The sequence below is a fragment of the Homo sapiens genome, chromosome 6 (assembly GCF_000001405.40).
Source record: "Homo sapiens chromosome 6, GRCh38.p14 Primary Assembly".
Classification (NCBI taxonomy): domain Eukaryota; kingdom Metazoa; phylum Chordata; class Mammalia; order Primates; family Hominidae; genus Homo; species Homo sapiens.
In genome coordinates, this window is record NC_000006.12 from 136,035,448 (window position 1) to 136,049,172 (window position 13,725).

General features: G+C 39.6%; 1 protein-coding gene and 1 long non-coding RNA gene across 2 annotated transcripts in view, besides 2 other annotated features; one reads left to right on the forward strand and one right to left on the reverse strand.

Annotated features, from left to right (window-relative positions):
- PDE7B (phosphodiesterase 7B) overlaps nucleotides 1-13,725 on the forward strand; it is a 343,874-nt gene that overhangs the window by 183,747 nt on the left and 146,402 nt on the right. The gene's annotated exons all lie outside the window — the stretch shown is intronic.
- Nucleotides 2,357-2,857: an enhancer, noted in NCBI's record as "H3K4me1 hESC enhancer chr6:136358942-136359442 (GRCh37/hg19 assembly coordinates)". NCBI's record gives its function as "activates a minimal SCP1, AML or CMV promoter by ChIP-STARR-seq in naive H9 embryonic stem cells {active_cell/tissue: H9 hESC(naive)}" and the evidence as "EXISTENCE:reporter gene assay evidence [ECO:0000049][PMID:30033119]".
- Nucleotides 2,858-3,358: an enhancer, noted in NCBI's record as "H3K4me1 hESC enhancer chr6:136359443-136359943 (GRCh37/hg19 assembly coordinates)". NCBI's record gives its function as "activates a minimal SCP1, AML or CMV promoter by ChIP-STARR-seq in naive H9 embryonic stem cells {active_cell/tissue: H9 hESC(naive)}" and the evidence as "EXISTENCE:reporter gene assay evidence [ECO:0000049][PMID:30033119]".
- PDE7B-AS1 (PDE7B antisense RNA 1) overlaps nucleotides 8,405-13,725 on the reverse strand; it is a 28,976-nt gene continuing 23,655 nt past the window's right edge. The window contains exon 4 of the long non-coding RNA NR_149042.1: nucleotides 8,405-9,486. This is a non-coding gene — a long non-coding RNA (PDE7B antisense RNA 1). The remainder of the gene's footprint in view (nucleotides 9,487-13,725) is intronic.

The following is a 13,725-nucleotide window of genomic DNA, read 5'->3' on the forward strand; positions in this document are numbered from 1 at the left end:
CAAAAATTTCCGAGCCAAGCTTTCTCGCAAGATTTCCTGTACTTCCTGTTTCTATGTGAGCCAGAAATACCATGAGAATGACCTTTCTTGTGGTATTTTTGCCCTTATACTCCAGGATGAAAATAATCCCATATTGGGGGAACTTTTTTTAAATTGTGCAAATATTTCCAGGTTTCAAACCTTCAAATGAAGTAGGTTCCTCCTTGGGAATGAAAATGTGAAATGGTGATGGCTTGGCCCTGACTCATCTCCACTAGGAAGTATTCGTGCTCAGTGATCCAACATTTTGTAATTTCTCTAAGATATTTTTACAAGGAACTAGATAAAATAGTACAGAGGATACAATGGAAATGTATATCCTTGGATTTTTTTTAAAAAGTCATTCTTGAAGAAATGAACAATGAAGTGTTGTGTTCTTAGTACATTAGTGTATGTGATATATGATATCACATATTTGTTTTCTTTGTTCTTAACCCCTTTGTTCCAAGGGTCAGGATATCCTGATGCTAAGTACTATTGCAAAATAACTGAACAAAAATAAAAATAGTCAAACACTTAGGAAACTCTTCAGTTGTTATGTCAAGGAAGTTTGTGACTGAGGAGTGAGTTTAAGACATTATTCAGGAAATATGATAATAAAGCAAACAGTCTACATGTGATTATTAAATAAAATCATCTCAATCCTAGAGAGTCTTGATGCCCCCAGCCTGATGGAAGGGTAAGATAAGGACTGGACGGGCTGTCAAAGTGGTGGAAGTGTTGAACTGATGGTGAAATCCTTTCATCTCTTATCAGAGAGGGAAAAAGGAAGGGCACATCTTTCTAATCAAGTAGACCGCTGATTATTCCCTAATTGTGTTGTATGTATATCTGGTTGTTATAGAAAGAGCTGCTAGATCAATATTTTCATAACAAAATTCACCAAAAGCAGTGTCTTCAATGTCTTTATTATTGTTTTATACCCTCTTGCCCCTTCTTCACCTGTTAGGAAGGAGAGTAGGTTTGCCAGTATGCTTTTCCATCCAGAAAAAAGAAAATTCACTTAATCCAGTATGGAAAACTAAACTTATTAACCATGGATTTAGAGAAATAATAAAACAACAATAAAATTACAGTTGTCTTTGCTGGTTTCAACTTTAAAAAGAAATGAGGTGGGAGTAATGAAAATAAAACACACTCTACAACGATCTTTCTCCTCTTCCCCAAGTTTCCTCCTCTCTCCCATGAAGAAATATCAAATAATTGTGTGATAAACCAGCCTTGAAAGGAATGTAGAGCAGAAGCAACAGATTATACACCAGCAAAATGGCATGCCAAGCAAAATAAAGCACTTTGCAATGTGGAGACGTGAAGAGAGGAAGATGGGATTGTTACAATGTTCTCCAAGAAAACAGGGGCTATTCACTTGAATGTGCAAGTTCAAATTGTTCCTACAAACCCAATTTGCTGGCAAAAGTGCCAAATACAAAACTACCCTACTTTCGTTTCTGTCCAAGGCCTTTCACATAAGCTACAGGGGGCATCGCCTTTTGTTGAATTGGTTCTTACTTTCAGGGTTAGCGCCTCCATCTCTGAGACTAGGAACAAGAGGCATGGCCCACAGTTGATGTTGCCCTCGATTCAACCACTCTCAGGTCGGGGACACAGTAGTCAGTGGCCCACATAATAAATCAACAGTGCTCTCCCTCCAGAAGGTGAATTGTTAACATTCTTTTCTTTCTTTCATTGCCATTTATGTCCCCTGTGAACATCCTTTAAAATGCTTGTTCCTTTGAAAATGGGTTTTGAATGAGCCTGAGCCACATATCCAGGCTATGCAGGCCACTGCCCATACGCATGAGGATCTTGATGCTTCCCGAATTCGCATCTTTCGGAGTTAACTGTGGAATGTGATTCAATGTTATTTCCCTTCCAGCTGAAGGGCAGCTGAGGTTATGAAGGGATTTGACTAATAGGTCATAACCCAGATAGGTTTGCCGAGAACCAAATGACACAAGGGGGAGGGATGTGGAGAAGGAGCGAGAGTGATCAAACTGAGGCACTGAGGATCAACCAAGCCCATCCCAGCACTGGTCTTGGTGACTGGGCAAGGTGCCCCCCAACCCCCATCAGGCCCTCCAGAGAGAAGCAGCTGCAGATTGGCTCTGCAGACTCTCAGCTTCCTCTGTTTTTTTGAGAACTCCTTGGGGCTTGCAGGCCTGAGCCTGTACCACAGGGGTGACTCCTCACCTGACACCTCCAGATAACTGGCCTCCAGCAAGGGGGGAGCCCCTCTGTGAGGTTAGCAAAGGGGAAGCCCCGCTTCTTTGCCTGAAGTCCTTAAGAGCTAAGCCGACAAAGAGCTAAGAGTCAACAAACTTTGACAAGCACCAAAAGAGAATTGAGAACAAATAAATCAGAAGAAAGAAGAGGAAAAGCAAATGCTAGAACCTCGATGGCTTTTTTTTTTCTCCCTGCTGTCGTTCCAGCTGTAGCCTGGGATTAATTAAGTGCTGTGAACTCAGTGCCAGAGAGAGGAGGGGAAAAAAAATGCATTCTATCTCTAAGGAAGGAGTACAGTAACAGTTTCTCACCAGAGAGAAACCTAGGGAAGTGAATCGCTCTCGTCGGCAGTGTTTGTGGAGGGCCTGAAGAGACAGGGAGGTTGTGCCAGGCTGGAGGAGGCTTGTCTTTCCGAAGCTGGAGAGGATCTTACGGGGGTTCGCTTTTCCCTGCCTGGGAAGAATTTCCCCTGTGGTAGCAGCAGCAGCAGCAGCAGAAGCAGAAACAGCAGCAGCAGCAACAGCAGCAGCAGCAGCAGCACCACCACCACCACTACCTCCTCTTCTGGGGCACAAGACAGAATGCCTGTGCTAGAGCGATATTTCCACCCAGCAGAGCTAGGCAGGAGGTGGACAGGCCCAGAAGGTGTGCTGCCCTCCTCCCCGGGAAGCCGGCCGGGGTGCCAGCAGGGGCCGCTGCCCTGGGACTTGCCAGAGATGATCAGGATGGTAAAGCTGGTTTGGAAATCCAAAAGTGAGCTGCAGGCGACCAAACAGAGAGGCATTCTGGACAATGAAGATGCTCTCCGCAGCTTTCCAGGTAAATTGACCATGGGGTGTAATAGGTCACAGGACCAAGTCTGATAACTAACTCCCTTTCTTTGTAGAGTCCAAGCCATAGGGAGGAAAATGAACTGTGTAGCATCAGGTCTGAGGGCTGTGACTTCCAAATGTCTGCTGTATGATAGAAATGCATCTTGAAATTAAGAGTGATTTAGTAGGAGGAGCATTTGACTGGAAATCAAGAAACCTGGGTCCTGGACTCAGCTTGACAAATGCTTGCCCTTTGGGCTTGCACAAGCCAAATTTCCTGAGTTTCAGTCCCCACCAAGGAGGGGGTGGAATTGGATGCTCTTTAATGGCCATCCTGACTCTAACATTTCTTGTCAACAAGTTAGAGATATCCCTAGGAGAATATTCTCCTTGGGTGGCTTTTTATCATTCTTTCTATAAAGTAAAATACATTTTCCAATTTTTAACTATGCCATTTACAGCATGTATTATGTTCCCAGCACTGAGTTTGGCATGCAAGCTTTTTATGTCCTGGGCAAGTTGGTAAACTTTCTTGACTTGGTTTCCCCTTTGGCAAATGTCAGCAATATAAACACCTTTATTGATATCAACTCACTCACAAATGTGGAAATAATGATTCCCAGGGACTTTGTCTTGTCATAAGAATGTGCTGTGTTTGGGACGGTTGTGGAGAACTTCACTGTGTTTCTGACAGTGGATACAACCACCACCAAGACACCCAGCATGCCTGGGAAGGATCCCAAGGGGCTTCGTAAACTAAGAAAGCCACAGCTGACTACAGGGCACTCTCTTTCTTTGAGGAATATGTTGCTAGATATTTGGAAAGTGGTGGGTTCACTTCAGAAGAAAGAACATGAGTGTGTGTTTATGCATCTGAAGTCTTGGCTAGGCCTATGCAGTGGAATCCTGGCGTGCCATTGGCGGTGAGGGATGGGGTAGATGGAAAAGATACATCAAAAATTACCTCTCCCTTTCTCGTGGAAACAGAGTAGGAAATAAAAATCTGGCTAGTTTTGATTTTAATGATTTATGCCAGGAACTTTTTTTAAGTTATGACTTAATAATCTGTAAAGAATATTATTAAGAAGTTAATACTCTGGGAAAAGAAAAGATTTAAAAGGGAGAAAAAAACAGGGTTGGTCTCCAGTAAACAATGAGTCCTTGAGTACATAGGAAAGTGAGGGAAACGAATAAAACTGAGGTTTATGTGGCAATTGGGAGAAGGATGCCCAGGGAGATGGGTCTTGGTCAGATGAAATGAGGTAACGCTAAACCAGTGTTGCATGTGAGTAGGGTAAGAAAAATGGAAAAACCCACCTGGGCAGAAAATTTTACTCTGACACTTCAACTCTTAGCACTTTAGGTTTGTTTCAGTCAATTAAATGATTAAAATTCATATTACAAACTGCACCCTTTGATAAAACTATCTAATTCAATAGTTGTTAGCATGTCTGTGGAGATAGGTGTACATTATTATTTATGTTCTATATTAGTGAACATCTAATTCCTGAAAAAGCAATACTCTGGAGAAAAAGCAGAACTCCTGTAGCTTCTTATTACTTAAAAGGCACACTTTTCTGGACATGATGAAGCAGAGCTTGTTGAGTCTTACTATACCTCTCTACCACTGCCTCACATTCAGTGGAAACTGTCTCTGAAGCCACTTGGATTCCCAGGGAAGCTGCACCCTGGTCTGCTGTTGAGGTTGCCTGCCTGTGTGGAGACAGGCTTTATAACACCTTTCCAAAGGATGTGTGTTTGCCTCCTGTTCTTCCTCCTGTGCCTCCTCACTCTCAGGGAGATGAGGGCTCATCCTTACTGGAATGGGCATAAAACCTTTTCATCATCATCCATCTATGCAGCAGCAGGTCATAGGATGCAACCCCAAAGATGAGTGGCTTCACTTTCCAAACTGTCTCTTACCTTCTTCCTTACTCATCCTATTCCTGATGCTGCATTTCCTCTGAGCATCAGGTGTCTTCAGCTGCATCATTTTCACCACAGCAGCACAACAATGGGGCCCTCAGGAACACTTACAGACTATTTCAAAACTTCTGGCATTTTTTTGTTTGTTTTTAGAAAGTGGTGATTTAAGCTGTTTTCAGTTCCTGCACAGAGGCAGAGGTTTATGATAGACAGCTCTTCAAAAAACAGCAAGACACGGTGCTCCCTCGCTCTCTCTCTCTGTCATTTCATCCTTGCCTCAGTCTCCTCAATTTATACTTTCATAATCCTTTTAAGCAACTGACTATGCATCAGGTGAGCCTTGCTTTATGCTTGAAATGTTTCTTCCTTGGCTCAGTCAACTGAAAATTTTCTATTCAAACAACAAAGCCCAGGTCAAGCATCTCTCTCTTTAAAATGCCTTTCCTGATCTCCAGCGGCCTCCCGTCTCCCCCAGTGGTAATCTATTCCCTCCTCTTTGCTATCTTTACCTGTAGTTACTTAACATTTTACATTTATAGCACACATATTTTTGCTGTGCTAGTAACTAAAAACAGGAAAATTAAATGTTATAACATTCTGTGTATATTTTGACTGCTTGTGGTAATGAATTGATTTAACTTTTTTTAAACCATGAAATTGCAGAAATTCTGAATCGAACCAACAGTTACTTTAGAGGACTTTAAAGATGGTGTCATTGGCTCTTAATGTGTTTAATGGAACCTTAAAAGTCCCAGTGTTTCTTTTCCTTAGCAAAGGGCATCATTATTTTTACGCACCCTTCTTCAACAAGACTGGAACTTTGTTTCTCACAAGTGAAGTAGAAAAATGTTCTGAGATTTGGCTAAGGTAATAAAAGGAGAGAATAAAAAAAATATGGGAACATAAATATGTGTTCGTGAGAGATTTTAAGGTGAAATACGCTGAATTAGGAGTATGGAATGGAAAGAACAGTCCCCTGGAGAAAGTGGGGGAGTGCCAGAGAGAAGGTGATACATAGAAACGTCTTCCACCATCTTCAGACTGGCATGCTCTGCCGACTGTTGGGTGGCTGTCCAAAGCAATAGACTGTAGGAGGGAATGGGAGATGATAGAAGGAAGGAAGAGGAGCTTGTCACCTTCACATGTTAGATCTGTGCATCTGGGAGTGCCCCCAAAGCTGGGCATTGGCCAAGGCACTGTTCACCCTAGCAAGGGGCTCTGGAAGTTATCAGCATGCTTGAGGTCCAAGTGTCAACTCTGTTCTTTGAACTGTACCCAATTATTTAATTGTGTTAATACTCACATCTTTTTCCCTTTATGAAGCAAACAAAGGAATTATCTAATTATCTAGTTAACCCCTGTATTTTGGAGATGAGGTAAATAGTTCAGAGAGACTCAATAAGGCATCCGGGATCACACACTGAAACTGTATCAGAACCAGACCAGCATTTCGATTGCCCAACTCTGGTCCACAGAACTCATGTGGTCAGGGTACATGCTGGGTAATAGAAATTTAAATTTAAACCAAGACATGGCTTTATTGATTACATGTAGATGGGGCAAAATGAGAACTCATGATGTGATATAAACCTTGGTCAAACCAGAAAAATAGTATTACCATGCAGAACAAGTCAAAGGATTGTGTCTCGTATACATTTTCTACTTATTCTGTGGGCTTTAGTCTTATATCCAAGCTTCAAATACTGCAAATATCCAAGGAAAGATCCCCAACTGTTATCAATAGAAAGTCAGCTTACACCATTGCAGTGACAGCATGCACCCATGTGGGGAGTGGGGAGAAGGATGAGGATAGAAAATAATTAAGTAGCTTCTCAGATGCTGTGAGGACAAATATGATGCTAATTATAATTCTAGTCAGCAACCTGTTTAAGACTAGATATCCCTTAGCAGGACTTGTTCTTAGTTGAATAAATAATTAGATTTTGGAATTCAACCAAATAACCGCAAACTCTGCAACTGGGAAACTTACCTTTCATTTCGGTGTCTCTGGTCTAAATTTTGCATTATAGTTTACTTATTTATTAAGCTCGTTCCCATTTCAATAAGCTTTGGTTCTAGGAAAATATAAATACACACAAATCGCTCAAAGAAAGAAACTCATCTTCCCCATAGCCATTGTAACGTCTCCTGCCTTTCAAGGAGAATACAAAATCAGAAATTTTCTTTATGCTCAGACCTGAATATCAAATTATTTCAGAGAAGAAAATCTCCAGAACCATTCTCTGATTCCAGTACTCTACAATTCAAATTAACATTTAAACTACTATTTCAAAATGTCTCAAGTATCAAGCACAATATAAATCAAATATGTTGAAGAATGAACATTTCGATCATTATAATCAAGAAGCATTTATGGGATGCTTAGTGTATACCAGGCACTGTGCTAGGCACCAGGGACTCAGAGATGAATCAAAAGCTTAATGAAAGAACAATTGTGGATTTATGAATCAGAGCTCTGTCTACAACTACAGTGTGAAAACAAGCACTTGTTAGTTTAAACCTGTCAACTCAAACTACTGGCTGTAAAACTGGTAAAATTCAAAAACACTTGTAAAAATTTATACACACTTTCAAATACTCATTGGTTCTAATGATTTCATTCAAAGCAGGACAAATTGCTTTGAGCAAGGAATCAATTAGTCTCAATGGCAGATAAGTATTAATTCATAATATTTTTCTAAAACTACTGCTTTTAGCAGCCTGTTTTCACTCTGTAGTGATGCTGGATAATAATCATTAATAATTTAAAGCATCTCTTAAATGTGAATGCAAATTGAGTCAATACTGGAGTACATCATCTCACTTTGAACTAAACCTTCTCCTTCACCTGACTTATTTTCATGAATGACTCATGAAAGGTTCAAAACTGCTAACTCCAGCTCCCCAATTCCCACTAGTTCTAAGTCCATAAGAGAGGCTAAGGGTGCCAGAGTGTGGTTGCAATGTTGAGATCTTAAAAGTTTTAAATTCTGCATCTCCATTACTGAACTGTGTGACCCTGGGTGGGTACTTCACCTCTCGGTGCCTCAGTTTCTTCTTATGTAAAAAGAGAATTAATAATAGCACCTTTGCTTAAGGTTGTTGTCGGGATTAAATGACATAATAGCAAAAAAAAAAAAAAAAAAAAGTGCCTAGAATAGAACCTAAGTTCCACCACACTCTCAGTAAATGTATACTCTCATAATTACTGGTGTTGGTGTTATTTTTCTCAACAACTTCTCTCATTCATTATCTTTTCTCTGTTCAGTTGCATGGCCCTTGGTCAAATCTCATGTTGTTTTGTCTATAATCTTGCAATAGCCTTCAACTCTCTCTATCCATTGTCATTCTATTCTGTGATTTAGATCAACAGTGTTAAAAGAAAAATCAAGATATGTCTCAACCCTTCTTCAAAATCCTTTAATAATTCTCTAGTGTCTACAGAGAAAATCCAGATTCTTTCCTCCTGCATTCAAAGTTCTCCATCTGGCACGAACTCATTTTTCCAGTCTTATTTGTCATTATTGCCCTCTGAGTACTCATATTCCACCCAGACAAGACAAACCTCCCACAGCATCCTACTTGTTTTCTGCTCATTGTTCTCAATGCTTAAAATGACTTTGCTCCATGTCCCTAATTTATCCCATTCCTTACTTAATATCCCGCTCGTATGCTAGCCCCTTCATGAATCCCTCCTGAGATTACTGAAGGAAAATATGCCTTTCTCTTCTGAAGTTCCACAGAACTTTCTTTGTATTTATTTAACAGGCAAATCACTTAATTTTGTTACAATTAGTGTACATTTCTTCCTCTCCTTCTAGATTCCAGCTCTTTGAGAGTCTGGAGAACATTCTGTTTTTTTCATGTTTTCCCTAAGATCTGTTGCATGTCAGCCACTCAATACATTTTGATATGTGAAAAAATAAAATTATCAGAAGGAATAAAATAGCTTACAAATTGCCATCAGATGCATGAATGAACATCTTTTTAGGGACAGATTACTCAAGAAACATGAATTCTAGCTCTTGTTTTTAATGGAATCCTATTTAAACATATTCCAGCAGAAGATCAGGATTAGTCATTATAGCTTTTAAAATAAAAGAATACACAAGAGTGAAGTTCAGAACTATTAAAAAAGGTATAAGTGCAAAACTAATATGAGACAGCTCTCTCTTCCTATAGAGAACTTGTAATCTACTGATAATTACAAAATTTTAGAGCAAATGCATGCATTTATAGACTTTTAAAATAATTACTCTGTTCATGCATTTTGGAACACTTTACATAAACTAAAATTTCAAAAGTGGCTTCTTCTACAGATAACAGTCTGTAGACTCCTGAACATAATTTCAAAAATAGAGTGCAAAAGGTGTGTGTTTACCCAGCCCTACGAATGAGCTTTTGAGGGGCTGGCTCTCAATGGAGGATGGTATTCCCAAGATCTCTGCTCGTTCTCTGCAAACAGTTTCTTTTTTCTTTTCTTTCCCTTTAAAAAAAAAAATTAAACAAGGCTGGTTCAACTGGACAGAAAAGCATTGACTTTTGCATCAGACCAATTCCAAAAAAAAAAATTAGTAGCTTTATTGTGAAAAGCCCGAAAGTTTCAAGTTTTTTTTTTTTTAACTCACGAAAGTAACTGAAACTGTGTACTGTCTTCTATCTGATTTTTTCCACTCTTTAATTTTCAGTACTCTTGATAATACATACTAGGTACATCTCATCATATCAGAAATAGTAAGCAGAGCTCACGGAATTTGTGATTTAATGCAATGCTGTAGTCTTGATATACACACAGTGTGAACTTTATACTTCATTTTCCTGTTTATCCCTGTCTGCCTTTCCATACATTTCTCTTTGGAATTGACTTCAATCTCTAAAATGCCAAAAGACCACCCCAAGAAATGAGTTTTGTATCTTTGAACTTGTCTTAAATTTCCTGAAATTATAAAATTATTAGAGGCCCCTTCTTCTAAGCACTTCTTCTTACCTAAAAAATCCACAGGACATATATTTTAGAGCTTATAAACCAAGTCGCTGTCCTGAGCATTTTGTTACTTCATCTGCTGTAACACAAATGCTGAGGGGTACTCCAGTGAGTAGGTCACAATTCTCATCATGAGTGACAGGAGAAAACTTGTCAGCCTTGTATGCAGTTGGAAGGCATGGCTGACAAAGACAAAGCAGGGTTTAGTTGTGGAAAGCCTTGGGTCCAAGGGGCCAAGCTTACTACAGAAAAATAGAATCACTAGAGAGAAAAGAAGGACAAATTTCAAGAGAGACCGAGTCGCAGTTGCATGAATGTGGTAGTAGAAATTGAAAGGTACAGGAGCCAGAAAATTGTAAAATAAAATCACAGCTAGAGCTATGATGGGAATGAACGTAAATCTTCCGTAAAGGTATCGAAAAGGAAAATTAAATAACTAAGGGTAATAAGACACATATCATGCAATAATTAGAATTTTAATGCTTCTTAACCTCTGGAATTAAAGCCAAAGCTAAAGAAAGATTGTCTTTCTTGCTTCCTTCTCCAAATCTTTTTGGATGACACCCAAACATTTCACACAAATCTATAAACGTAAGTGACAAGCACTTCAGAAAACCTGCAGGACATTACATTTAGAGGATCTGTGACAGTCGTTCATTCAAAGAAGTCGATAGTTTGCTGAAGAAAATAATTTAAAAAGAAAAGAAGAAGGGACAGGCAGACAGGCAGGCCTAGAGCACCCAGGAAAAGGAAGTCAGGTAAGGTCACTACAAAGAAACATTCAAATATAAGAAGTGTAATAAAAAAATACATACAGAAGTGAGAAGGAAACAGTCACTGTTTAAAACATTTGTAACAGAGATTTCAAGTTTGCGCACTCAAATATGTGATGAAACGTAGCCTGAGTCTCTTCTTCAACCAAGAAAATTATCCTCTTGAGCCCACCCTGATGGGGAATAGGGAAATTTAAACTTGTTAATTAGCACCATGGTGGTCAGTCTCTTCTCGATTACTTCTTTTGAATAAATACCTTGCCACTCTTTGCTCCTCTCCAAGTTGGCATCTGGGTGAATATGTGCCTTGGGTTCCCACATACCTATCCAATGTTTCTCCTGCACACGCCTGAGAGGTGCCAACCTCAGAGGGAGAAGCAAATGTATGTTCATGTGCCACTGGGCTCTGCCTGTGACGCTTCCCTGCAATTCCCCAGGGTATCAGGAGTAGACTTTGCAACTGTCTCTTTGACATGACCTTACCCTGTGCCATATCCTCTTTCCTCCCAGCAGAAGGAAGCCTCAATGTGCCCATATCTATAGACCCACCTCTTAATATATTAAAGGGATCTAATAAAAGAATAAAGAAAATCCTTTCATCTTTCCACAAAGACAAGCTGTTAAGATTATTGTCCTTCTGCAAACTCACACACAAAACAAAACCCGAAAACCTGTTACTCTGAAGGCCAAACAATGAATATCAGCTCCCTTCTTTTCTTCTCATTCTTGCTATAATATTCCAAATGATCTTCCACGTATGCCTCTAGAGGGGTGGAAGCAGAGGATATGCACAAGAGAGTGCAAAACAAAAGAAAATGGCCCACGGACATACATCAAAAAACATTATCTCTATCACACACTGGTTAAGTTACTATGTGCTAGGCCCTATCCTTGAGCATTGCGTATTCAACATGATTTGTCTGAGTTACATTCCCATGTAACTAGAAGCATCAGCTAGACCTGATTCTTCTACCCTCTCTACTACCACTCTTTCTCTGTCTCTCTCTTAAACACATACATTTCCACAACCATCTCAAAATGTTGACACTGAAAAGTTTGACCAAATGACTGTAATACATGAAAAAAGATGTGTACAAATCTCACCTTTCTGGTTGGTTTTCACATTGAGAGCTGAGCTTTTGTATCTGCCACTAATTGGAATTGTGGTCCTAATCATACAATGTATTGTATTCTGGTCAGGTCTGATACATTTTCACTGCTTAAATGTGCTAATTGGAAATTCTGAGAGCTCTTCTCCTCCTTTCTTTGGCCCTCATCCCCTAGAAAGAAAGTGGGGAGGGAATGTAAATAGACAAAATTGGACTAAAACAAATTTTGTTTTGAAAAATTTTTGAAAATGTCTCAAATCCTCCAAAAATTGTTAGAAACATACTAGGAGGTCACAAAATGGAAAATGATGTTTCAATGTTACATACAAATACTGAACTTCTTATGCTAAACAGTAAGCATCAACCAAATAGGTGTTATTTCCAACTTAGAAATAGAAGAAATTGAGACTTCTATTTACTGGTTATTTATTTAAGATATTCAGAAAGGGAAATGAAAAATTCAAATTTCTAGTTTTCTTTACTCAGTGCATAGCATTGTGCTTTCTGTCTGGGACAGAATAAAGGATATTATGACCTATTAGAAGAGACAGATACAGAAACAACTCACTGATATCAAGGCAGAATGGCATATGCTTTACAATAAAGTGGAAATAATACTCTATGGGAACGTAGAGGAAGAATCAAAAGTGTTTATTCAACTAAGTTTGTTTGGTGCCTATCATGTGCCACATAGTTTCTTCATTCCTTAGAAAATAAATATTCATGAACCAAGAATGTTGAGGTAGATGGATGGATGGGTGGATGGATAGATAGATAGACAGACAGACAGACAGACAGATAGATAGATGTGATATATAATATACTAAATGTGCATACACAAAGTCTGTGCCAATTGCCAACACATAAGACAGTGATTAATTCTGCCTGTATGATGGTGGTAAAGGAGGTGTCAAGAAAGGAGATGATGGGCTGGGCGCGGTGGCTCACGGCTATAACATCAGCACTTTGGGAGGCCGAGGCAGGTGGATCACCTGAGGTCAGGAGTTCAAGACCAGCCTGGCCAACATGGTGAAACTCTGTCTCTACTAAAAATACAAAAATTAGAGGCGTGGTGGTGGGTGCCTGTAACCCAGCTACTCGGGAGGCTGAGGCAGGAGAATCCTCGAACCCAGGAGGTAGAGGTTGCAGTGAGCCGAGATTGTGCCATTACACTCAACACAGGACCAAATGCAACAAATTCCAGGGAAGGCCAAGTTATGGGGTATAAAATGAATCAGGGGAGGGCTAGGATAAGACTAGAAAGATAGGCTGGGGGTCAGGTTGCCATTGGCCTCATCTGTCTTTCTGAGGAGTTTATCCTATAGGGATAAGAAAACTTCAGACAATTTTAGTGGGAAGTGATATGATAAATTTTACATTTTAGAAAGATCATTCTAGCAACAGTGGCTGGTGAAGAGGTGGAGTTAGGGTGAGCATACTAACGAATATGTATAACCATAGTGGCATTCATTGACCATATTTGTAAGATGTTGAAAATTTTGAGATGCTGAATATTTTCTCTTCAACTTACAAACCAAATTTCCCAAGTGCTATAGTATTTTACACAGAGCCACAAGAAATAATATAGAAATAATCAAGCCAAAGCCCTTGACACATGGTATCATCCTATCATGAAGGATTTATATAGCCTTCCATCTAGACATGCTGTTCCAGTCATGTTCATCTCTTCCCCAAATGCAGAACACAGGTTGTCGCCATAGTCTCAGAACAGTCTATCCTTCTTACATCGCCAACTCACATTTCTTCCAGTACTTAGATTGCCTGTTTTGTTTGTTTGTTTGTTTTTGAAATGAGGTCTTGCTCTGTCACCCAGGCTGGAGTGCAGTGGCTCAATCACA